Source organism: Homo sapiens, chromosome 6 (assembly GCF_000001405.40).
Source record: "Homo sapiens chromosome 6, GRCh38.p14 Primary Assembly".
Lineage (NCBI taxonomy): Eukaryota > Metazoa > Chordata > Mammalia > Primates > Hominidae > Homo > Homo sapiens.
In genome coordinates, this window is record NC_000006.12 from 80,516,611 (window position 1) to 80,528,726 (window position 12,116).

The 12,116-nt window shown below is 36.4% G+C and overlaps 1 long non-coding RNA gene across 1 annotated transcript in view, besides 1 other annotated feature; it reads left to right on the forward strand.

Annotated features, from left to right (window-relative positions):
- Positions 1–12,116, forward strand: part of LOC112267962 (uncharacterized) — a 162,505-nt gene that overhangs the window by 31,635 nt on the left and 118,754 nt on the right. The gene's annotated exons all lie outside the window — the stretch shown is intronic.
- Positions 7,002–7,296: a silencer, noted in NCBI's record as "tiled region #6183; K562 Repressive non-DNase unmatched - State 13:Ctcf". NCBI's record gives its function as "represses a minimal TATA promoter and a strong SV40 promoter by Sharpr-MPRA in K562 cells {active_cell/tissue: K562}" and the evidence as "EXISTENCE:reporter gene assay evidence [ECO:0000049][PMID:27701403]".

Sequence of the window (12,116 nt, forward strand, 5' to 3'; positions counted from 1 at the left end):
AAGAATATGAACCAAGTTGGCCCATGGAAAGTTTGGCAGTGAATAACAAAGTTCTGGGATCTGTTGCCTTTGACTATAAACTGTTCTGAAGATTGTTGGAATAGCTTAAAGCTCACCAGATTGCTATGTCTCTAATTATAGGTAAAATAGTAGACTTGCAAAAAAAAAAAAAAAAAAAAAAGAAACTTAGATTGTACTCATCTGTGAATATGATGACAACAAATGTACCTATGCATTGCATCTAGTTATTTCAGCAATATTTGTATTTGGGCCATTTACAGTTGTTTATTAATATGCCAAGGGATTGCTCCACAGGTAATTCAATGATGTCATGGCACGTGAATTTGCCTAAAGTTTTTCAACAAACCTTGACATATCTAAGTAATGTCAAGATCTCTACAAAAAAGACACTTGTGCTCCACATACAAAATTTAGAGAATGCTGTTTTGAGTTGAGAGCTACATGAATGAAAAACACACAAAGAAAAAGCACTTAGCAGTTTTCTCATAGGCAAATTTCATTGTTAAAGTCTCAGAAGCAGTTGAGAATAACAGGAGGATGGTTGTTGGGGGGAGGGTAGGGTGCCATTGTGAACAGCTATTCTGGAGATCAGCGGTAGGTAAATTAGGCAAAAGGACCTGGGAGAACACATCTACCTGGAGCAATGTTGTCTGCATCAATATCAACATCACCTGTTTCTCTACCTATAGAGCAAAGGAGCAAAGACTATGCACATGAAAGAATGCTGATAAGCACAAAATGACTCAGGTGAAAGTCTCCTCAGTAACAGAGGGAATTTTTTTGAAGTCTCAGGACAAATACAGTTGCCAAATTTCTATAAAATGAATAAAATTCAATTTCAAGGAAAGATTGAAATAATTCAGTTTAGAGAGGTCAAGAATAAGGAGGAAAAATAAGTGTGACCAAAGCAAGCGATAATATGGAAACTGGAAAATAAATATTACTAAGAATTCAACAGTGTATCAGGCTTCTTTTTAGAAATATGTGGTGCATGAAATATATTATGGAGGCATGACCAAAGGATAGAAAAGCTTTCAACAATGTTAATCCATGTTAGCCTTTGAATGTCATGTGACCCAGGGCAACTGTTTGCATCTATTTGGTGCCAGTTTTCTTATCTGTGAAGGCCAGAGTTGGAATTGTTAACCTTGAGAGATTTTTTTTAATTCTTATTTTCATTTTTTACCGTGTAGTCCATATGGTCAGTAAAGATTTTTCCAATGTTAAATGTATATTACACTAAATAACCCTGTTTCCTGCTGAAGACTCTAATCTTTATTGATTTACTTAATTAGGTATAACTCACAAAGAGGAAGTTTGTAAGTGCACAAATCTCAAGTGGAGAGGTCAGTGAATTTTTACTTGCATCTCTCTAATCACCACCCGAATCAAGACGGAATATTTCTAGCACCTCAGAAGGTTTTCCTGTGCCCCTTCCCAGTCAATACCCTCTTGACTAGTAGTCACCTAGTCTGACTTCTATTTTATTTTATTTATTTATTTTTGAGACAGAGTTTTGCTCTGTTGCCCAGGCTGGAGTGCAGTGGTGATCTCGACTCACTGCAACATCTGCTTCCCAGATTCGAGCGATTCTCCTGCCTCAGCCTCCTGAGTAGCTGGGACTACAGGCATGTACCACCATGCATGGCTAATTTTTGTATTTTTAGTAGAGACAGGGTTTCGCCATATTGGCCAGCCTGGTCTCAAACTCCTGACCTCAAGTGATATGCCAGCCTGGGCCTCTCAAAGTGCTGGGCTTACAGGTGTGAGCCACCCTGCCTGGCCTGACTTCTATTTTAGTAGTTGATTAATTATTTGCCTGTTCTTGAATTTTATATTCATAAATCACAAAGTATTCAAACACACTATTCTTTAACTTAGTCGTTAGTGTTATTCAAAGTAGATAACCTTTAGGTGTAATTGGTATTAATAATCTTATCATGATGCTGTGTAACTTTATGGGCTCTTTACATTTTATACAACTAAGGTGATCCTCTCTAACTTTTATTTATTGTACAGCTAATTGTGTGGTTTTCTTTCAGATGAGAATAGTATCCATTCTCAAATACGACTGTCCAATTATCACTCAAATGTCAAAATCCATTTCAAGTCTACTACCTCTGGAAAATCTTTTTCTAACTATTTCAGTCCACATCACTGCCCCATTTTCTTATCTCTATGTTGTTCTTAGTCTATACTATTTACCATGTATATTAATTATATAGTACTTTATATTTTATTTATCTGTTCCACATATTTGTGGTATCTTCTGTCAAAAAAATTGCATGTGCCAATGAAAAGGCAGTTTCATCTGTTATTTTTTAAAATCCTGGAATAATAAAAATACCACAGAATAGAAATGGTTGACAATGCATGCGTGTGTGTGTGTGTGTGTGTGTGTGTGTGTGTGTGTGTTTCTCTCCATTGTATAGCCACAGTATGAAAATGTGAGCACTGGAGTCAAACGGCCTGAGTTTTGATTGAAGCTACCATTTATAAGCAGTGGATTTATGGGTAAGTTACCTAACTCTTCTAAGCTTTGATTTACCATCTGTAAAGTGGAGGTCATGGCAAAATTTAACAAACAGGTAAAGTGCTCAGGACTTTTTGTCTTAATGAGGCATTTAGTCTTATCATACTCTATTCCAAAATCACCTTTTATATGTGGTTCTGTCACATTTTCATGAACATCGCTCTGGTCTTAGAACTGAGCTAGTGAACTGTGTTTAAGTGCTTGTCTCTCAAAAAATTGTTTTAGAGTGACACATTTCAGATGATCAGTTAAAGAAATAACTCTTTTTCCTACTTTTAGGCCTGTATCAATTGGTTTTAATATAAGCTACTAGCAGGAATTGCCACTACCTTCTGATGTAACATTTACTAACCTCCTGTTAGGTTCCAGATTGGCGTGTGTGCATATGTGTGTGTTTTGGGGAACGGCATTAGGTTTTTAGTAGATGAAATATGTAATGTGTAACTAGTTAATGGAAATGACATGAAATATTACTACTTGAATTTCTAGAATAGCTTTTTCTAAAAGGATTCTTCAGTGAAATCTTTGAAACAAATAAAATTAGAAGTAAAATATTATTAAAATAGTGTAAAATATGTCTTTTTTTAAGTGACTTTTAGGCATAGACTCAAGGAAATGAGATATTTATTTGTATTCAAAACTGTAGTGCGACTATAATTTGGTTAAAGAACTCCTAGAGGAGTATTAGTCCAACATATGTTAGAAAATAAGGGAAAGCCATTCTTTTGAGGACTGTGATTCAAATGATTTACAGTCTTGTCTTCATGTATTCTATGTAAGTATTGACCATTTAAAGTTAAGCCTTGAAATGCAGGGAGGATGGAGCACACGCCATCACATACTGTTGTGGTTACAGTAGTGGGTAACAAGCCTGTGCCATAGATCTTCTCCTGTATCAGCCTTCTGTTCAAGTCAACATATCATTAAAAAGAAGATCCCCCAAAACAGCAAAAAATTTTTCATGGACTCCAAGATGAATGTAGCTTTCTTACCATATTAGAACTAATTGAATTCTAATATAATACCCTGTTTCTCTCATCTGTTCCAATTCTTGGGTATTCACATAGCAATTTTGGTCATATTTTGGTAATGATGTAGATTTATGGAGGCTCATAATAGATGACTCATACAAAATCTTTTTTTTTCATTTCTGGAATCCTCTTGGCATGACTGCCAAAACTCAGCCACTAATAGAACATAAATATAGAGTGGCTATGTTTCTATTTCTAGAAAAAAGTGTAGTAAACTATAGTACTTAAGACATGGGGGTGGTTGGATTTGGGTATTTCCAAATCAGCAAAACATACTCATTTGCAACTTTTTAGGGTCATTTTCATTCTGAGTTTATCTTGGTGTTTTGTAATAACATGGCTGGCTTTGGCAATTCCATTTATATACACATTCTATATTTTTTCTTTAATTTTTTTCCTACTTATTCTTGGAGAAACTCAATTGGGTTCTAAGAACATTTTGAGAAATTTGGAAGTGTAGAGCAAATATATAAAACTTTAAAATATCCTTTTTATTAAAAGGATTTATTTATTTATCCTGCTGACAAAATTTTAATAGCTCTTTCTCCAAAACATTTAGCACTTGCTGTTTAGTATGTTTGCTGGGCAATATGATATTAAAATTGGAATTAGGTCTCATTTTGATATCTTGCAATGAAAATAAATCTTTTGTTTTAAGTAAAAGGAGGATCTGTTTCAATCTGTGAAATAATACAGAGAGCAAGGAACGTATTAACCTAAATATGTAAATTCAAATTTGCCATTAAAATGTTTATTCTTAACTTTTTATCTAAACCCGAAAACAACCATGAACCAGATTCCTTCATTTTTGGAAATGGAAGAAAACTTGCTTTTTTAAAAACTGAGATTTATAATCCCTTCATTATTCACCAAATGCTTAAAACTGAGAGCCCGCTATGTGCCATATGCTTTAAGACCCAAGGATTCAGTGGTAAGCAAAACAGATGCAGACGCTGCCCCGGCCTCCTGGAGCTCACAAAAGAGTCACACATTTTCTTCATGTCTTCTTTTATCTTGCAATGCAATGTATACATTAATTACATGTAATTGACTATTCGATACAATACTATGTAATGCATTCTTAATCATATCACGTACATGATGATGATTCAAGTATACAGTTAATGAAAATATTATGCTTAGTCCTTATCAAATGCTATTTACAGAAAAAAATCTGTATAGAAACTCCCAGTGTTCTTGAATGCTTACATTTTATTGCTATCAAATAAAGATACAAATAATTGCTAAAAATGACATCTATAAATATTTATAAGTGAGACATTATGTTTGTGTATCCTAATTGTATTTTAAGCATACACAGTTTAATCAAAAGCAGACTCTAAAATGATAATTAATATAACTGACATTGCACTAATGCAAGACATTTATAGAAGGTACATTTATCAAGTTAAGCACATTTATAACACATGTGGATGCTGGATAATTAAAATAACCTTTGCATGGAAATTTACTTTAGAAACTAACACAGGAAATCTTTTAATTTTCATGTTTTGAATAATTATATTGGAATATTCTTTTCTTCCCAGAAGTGGTTATTTCATTTATTTTTCATGGGAATTTAATGGGTTTAAATTTCTTCTTTTTCCAGATATGTTAAGGAACTAATAGGTACTGTAACTCTGATCAAGTGCTTTATTCCCAGCTCCAAAATGTTTAATAATTTTTGAATAATATTGATTGTGTTTAGTTTTTGTGTTATATTCCCTAATTTCTATGACTTTTATTAAAAAGATGAGTGTTAGATTTTATACATATATACTATGGTGGACTAGTGACATACCACCCCAGTCTGTCTTCTGGATTACAGGAATTATTCTTTTAGCTGCTGATAGTGCTGCTGGAAGAAGGTCATCAGCTATCAATCCTCTTTGGGGATGGTATCACATCCCCTGTCTGAAGCAGCCCACATTCAAACATCGATCACTGTAGAGTAGGAAGACCTAGCCAGTCTCTGAAGGGCTTTTTAGCTTCAGAGCAACCTGTGGGGTCTGCTGAGGCTGTTGCTGTTGTTGGTATTTCAGGGCCACTGTTAAACTCTGCTCCTTACCTCTGCTTTCCACAGGTATTGATACTAAGAGCCCTCTCAAATAAACACTCCATTTCAGAGTGCGCTGTCTGAAGAAATCAAGCTTGGAATGTGCCCACTGACTCAGAAGTCAAATGTCATTGTGTATTGACAGTAAATTCAAGCAGCTATTATTGCATTGAAATGTATTCTGGTCAGTTAATCGATGTAAATATTAATGAAGATATAGAATTTTTATTTTACTAATATTTTTTGATTTTTTAAAACAATCAGCTTCTTCACTTAATCATGGTTAGCTAACGATTAATTAAAAGCAGATGAACAATATGGCAAATAATTGATCTCAACAGAAAAATAAAACAAATCCATAGAAGTCACGTTTTTCTTTTGTGAAAGCCTTTGTACTATTTTGACCTGCTGATTTAGCAGGCTGCAGTCTGATTTTAAACAAAGGAAAAAAAGATGAAACAGACGCTTGTTAATCATGCCGGAACTTCTAAAACAGCTGTTGCTATGGGAGATATTGTCCCAGTATTTCTTTTGAATTTTACATGAGGACATTTACTCCCTTTTCCTCATTGCAAATTACAGGAGTGATTTAGGTAGTTCTAAGACACACAACCCCCTTATCCTCTTTGAATGTAGAACATTGCTATTTGGCATCCATTTGAAGGTAATGCCTTTTCAGCAAAGCAAGGAAAAGTCTATGAACTATAATTGCTCACTGCAAACGTGCTTTATTATTAACACAATTTCTCAAGAAAGCTGTAAAGAATGGAGACTGTGCTAAGGGAGTTAATAGAGAAATACCACTATTTCCTTAGCCAGTTTTTCCAGGTGCTGCCCCTGTCAAACAAAATCTATAGTTTCAGAATAGCATAACCCCTACACATGTATCAGTGGTCAAAACCAGAGCGGTGAAGCTCATCCAAGAGAAACAAGATTAAAAATTCAGCAAGAGACAGAAATCTGGACGTATACCAAGCAACTTTTCATCAGCATGTCTGCCTGAGAGGAAACATTTTCCAGTGTCCTCCTTCCTTTTTCTTTGAAAATGAGCTCAACGGCCGTGTTCCCAGGCACTATAACAAATGAGTTGCTTCAGGCACAGAGAGGCATTAATAAATGATGTTATTTGTTAAAAGTAGCTTAGATGTCCCGCTCCCTCAAGTCAATGTCAAACCCAGTGAAACAACAGCTCTAACAAATTTCTCTGTGGTCCACATTGGGTCTTCGGTGTGTTTTCTTTTATGGCGCAGGAGGGTCAGGTGGACAGGGCAGATGTGGTGGGGTGCAGGAGCTCTACTATTTATGCGGACCTCTGTTAAGGAAATGGCAGAATTTCCGGAATTCTTTAGCTACTTCCTCTTAGTATTTGCCACTTTCTCTCCAGCTGTGGATGCCGAAGCCCTTGAACAAAGGCGCAGAAGGCCCAGAGCCAGGAGAGGGCGCATCCCTGAGCCCGAAGCCGAGGCGGCTTCCACCTGTCTACAGGAAACACAACACCGCTTGCAGTTGGAAGGCTTGTTCTCAACCTACTGTTATATGGCTTGAGCCGTTAATCCGCCCCTATCACACAGGAACATTCAGAAGTTAGGGACATTAAAAACACACAGGGTTCAAGTGTTTTGCACTAAGCTTGTTTACAGGAAAAGGAGAGCCTGGTGAGTCATCCTTCTATTTTCAAATGGAAACTACCAAGAATTTGTGAGTGCACTTTGCAACTCTATGCATTTAAATTGATCAAACATTAAATATTAATGTGAATGACGTGGGAGCAGAATGCCGTTTACCAAGTAACTACGATAGAATGATTTTAAAGGTATTATGAGAAGGTGGGGAATTAGAAAGATACTTTGCCTTAGCTGTTTTTATTTTTATCCACCTGGGTATAGGAGGACTATTCAGTATTTGGTAGGGAGCAGGGTAACAGAAAGGTTACCATCATCAGTGATTCTAAATTACAGCAAACCCATTGCAAGTGGCAACAGACCATGATACAGGCTGTAGCTTAAAACAGGAAAAGGAAGTGGGGCTGAAGGAGGAGAGAGGAAAAGAAGAGCATTAACACTGGTGGAGGATTCAAGAGAAGCCTTGCTGCCCTTCTCTGAACACTCTGTCACTCTCCTTCCAGTGAGGGTGCTACACAGTTATTTTAAAGCTATGCCATTCTACACCTTTGCAGAACCTTGCAGGTTGCTGTCATCAGCTAACTGGGTGAGCTTGTCTTCTGTGTATCCATTCAAGTGATGTAAATACTGAACAGAATGGACCTTGTGGTATGTGTCTAGGAACCTTCCTCTAAGGTAACACTGTTTAATTAATCAGTATTGCTTAACATAATTTGTTTAATAAAATATAAACCCTGCTAATTTGCTTCAATTCAATCCACACATCTTCTGTTGTCTTCAAGATCAAGACTTGCCAAGTGGCTTGCTGAATAAAGACACACTTTGCCATTTTCAAGTCAAGAGAGTAGAGAGCTAAAGCACAGACTTTCAAGCTAGCCTGCCTCAGTTTTAATCTTGGCTTAACTATGTACAGTTACTGTATGTCTTTGAGCAAGTTACTTTTCTGTGCCTTAGTTTTCTTATCAGTAAAGTGGGGATAATAATAGTTTACACTTCGAGGGTTTCTGTGCGGATGAGATGAGTTAGTGACAACTGTATATGCTTAGAAAGCATGGAGTCCATAGTCAGTACTGCCCAAGTGTTTGTTCTTATTGTCATTGTCATAATCATCATCGAGTGATCCTCCCCAAACAGTGATCACATCATAGTCTGTTGGTATTTAACCTATGTTTACACCCAGTGATTACTATTCTACATCTATATGTCCTTGGGTAGATTACCTAATCTCTCTGATCCTCAGGGTTTTTTTTCTGTATAAAATATAAATGAGAATATGTGCACACAAAATGATGTGTACACAAAATGAAGGTCTAAAAATCATTGTAGAGTTTTCCTGCAAATCTTCCCTTTTGAGGCATCTCTCTTTTAAAACATAGAATATATATATGTATATATATGCGTAGAATATATATATATGCATAGAATATATATATAAAAGCATAGTATATATAGATAGATATATATATGGGCTACAAAATGCTCAGCAAATATAATACATGCAGTGAATATGAGATATCTAAACTATGTGTTCTTCCAAATACAGCATTAATTTGCTGAAAGCTTTTTTCTCCAAGTAGCTAAATTTGTCAACACTTTGGAAAAAGCAAGTGAATCTGCCACATCATTATCTACATCTATATGTCCTTGGGTAGATTACTTAATCTCTTTGAGCCTCAGGTTTTTTTTTTCTTATAAAATAGGAATGAGAATATGAATTTGATATGCACAGCATATCGAGTAATTATGTTTCTTCCACAATCTAAGCACTAGAGATGTTTTATTCAACATGAATAAAACAAAGTCTTTGCTGTGATGATAAACATATGTAAAAAGTACGTAGTATGTTAAGTGATTTAAAAATGTGCCATACAAATGTAAAGCAGAAAAGAGGCCGAAGAGTGATATGGAGCAGGAGCAGCAGATATGATAGCTTTTCTAATAGTGGATGTTGGCATGTTTGAAAATTCTTGGTGTCACAGCTCTAACACTATGAATTTTTTCATCAAAACTGAAAGGTGAAGAAATCTCTTTAAAAACTGTTCACTGGCACATGAGGCTTTTCTCCAAGCAAAAAGCTTCTTTTTGAAGCTACCACAGAATGGCTTCTGACATTCTGGAAACCAGAGCACGGGCTTTTGCGGGACAATTGTTCCAATATGCCCCCACGTAAGGAGCATGGCTGGCCGTATCCTCAGGAAAAAGATATTTTCCCATGTGTTCATGGCTTCAGTATCTCTTCACGACAAAAGAAGATAATTACATTTTTATTTTTTTCAGTAATTAATTGTTTGCTCTGAAATCACTCAAACTTGTTTTGTTTTTTCTTTTTGAGATGGAGTCTCACTCTGTTGTCCAGGCTGGAGTGCAGTGGCACCATCTTGGCTCACTGAAACCTCTGTCTCCTGGGTTCAAGCGATTCTCCTGCCTCAGCCTCCCAAGTAGCTGGGACTACAGGTGTGTTCCACCATGCCTGGCTAATTTTGTTGTTTTTAGTAGAGAGGAGATTTTGCCATATTGGCTAGGCAGGTCTCGAACTCCTGACCTCAAGTAATCTGCCATCCTTTGCCTCCCAAAGTGCTGGGATTATAGGGATGAGACACTGAGCCTGGAAAATCACTCAAATTGAACACTAGAATTAGAATTACCAGTGTTTTTTATGTAGATACCTTCATTCTCATCTGGAAACTCTTGTAGCTGGAACATCAACAATGCACTGAATTACCTGTATTTCTCCCCTTTAGAACTTTTCCCAGAGAAGTCCAAATGTCCTTGGACATTTTCAGTTATCATAGCTTAGAAAAAAGCACAGTCCTTAAGAGACTGGTAACTGAAAATTATTTCTGGGCTATCAGATATGCTTAATAAAAGCTTCAGTAAAGTCAACGACTTCTTTACAGCACACGTGATCTTAATGTGGAAGACATTTTACATTTTTCATCTGGCAAACCCTATGCAACACAGTTGGAATTATTCTTCAAGAAGTGTCAGCAAGTTGCTGAAATGAATCAGGGCTAAGCTTTGGTCACAACTTGTCCATTTTTAGGTTCTCTGGGAACCAAGTTATCTATGACTGTATAGAAGAGCCATGAGTGACTCTTCCCTCAGTATTCTTGCTATTTCACCTTTTGCTCCGTCCTTACTCTTTTCCAGTTGAAGAGCTTTCCATGTATAAATCAAAAGTGGAGGTTGGTCCCAGAGATTGGACCTGAATTAAAATCTGTTTTCTATATTTTCCTTGTCAAATGGGATTGTCTGAATTTCAAATCATGTTAGTTTGCTTACTCTGGCTAAATTTCTTATTTCTTTTGTTGATTAATTTTTGATATTCGATCATAGTTGTACAAATATTTTCAATTATTTCCAAATATTTGATTTAGTTTTTGGGCAATACACTGGGTTTCCCCTCCAAATTTATGAGCCTTGTCAATATTATCCAGAACTTTGATGTCTGAACAGGCCTCCCATGAAGAATGTTCTCCTTGGCTTTACTTTTGAATGCACTCTATGAAATAGCATGCTGCGTTTTTAGATTTGTCACTCATACTAAACTCCACATCCACATACTAGTTAAGCATATATTTGGACAGTTGAATTATATACAATAATTGTTGTGAGCCTTATCAAGGTTAAAGTTCACTTGTGTAGAGGAAACATTTTAAAACACTCTAAGGTCTTCTTAAGTTTGAGCAACACGTGAGTAAGTCATTACCACCAATAGCCTATCTATTCAGTTTCAGTGCTGTTTTTATAAGTACTTTCTATTTGGGCTTTCAAAAATGTAAGTGGGATGAGAGAGAGTAAACAGTCGTTGTTTGTTCTCTTCCAGGATCAGATTACATGATAGTTGCTTAGTTACTGCTCTACACAGTGTACGTACCTTTATGTGTAAATACAGATTTCAAAATCTCTACAGATGTACCCTGGGTCAGAGAGGTTTTTAGCAGATCCAGAAAATGCGTGGTCTTGGTTTCTCACAAAAAGGTACCGCCAAACATGTTTGGTAATAGGAATGTAAATAGTGAAACAAATCTACCGAGAGTAATCAGAAAAGAAAAGAACTTACTTGATTCCTAGAACCCAACGTACAAAAAGGCAAAGCTAACTGGAAAATGCCTCAGGTGGTGCATCATGTCTACCAGGTGCATTGTGTGACACTGTTTGCTTCTCTTTAGTACTTTTTCCATTAACTCCATGAAATATTTATAAACAACCATCTCCCTTTTCAGTACTGCCAATTCATTCTGTTCAGAACTAAGTCATTTGGTGCTAAGTACCCAATTCTTGCCATGGTGCTCCAGGGGCCAAGAATGACTGAGTTTGGTTTCAATAATGCCTCTCTTAGTATTCCATTCCTACCAGTGATGTTGAGAGCCAGAGAATTGGGAGACAGAGCTTGCAGGGGATTTCCTTTCTGTTCTTGTTCCAGAGTGGCTACAATGAAGATAAGATAAACAAGCAACTTCTGTGCAAGGCACTGCCCACTAGTGTCTTGGTGAAAAGTGCTTCTGAAAGTCAGGGACAAGGGGGAGAACTGATGACTACATGTGTTCCTGGTTAATTTCCCTTAATTACCACCAGATCAGCCTTGTACCCTGTCCCTTGTTTGCACTCAGAAAAAAGTTTCCTTTACAAATGTTTAACCTGAAAACTTTTCAGGTATAAAAAATACCTACAGCACACCACAAAGGCTCAACTCTGCCAGCACCCACCGCCCAAGGGCTTTAGGGACTGCTTATAGATGTTTATTTTAAAAGTTTAACCAAATGGCTGAGAAACAACTATTTTGAACCTCACCTATTCTTAAACAGATTGTAACTAGATTACAAGTAAAAACCCCAAGAAGCTGTCTTTAA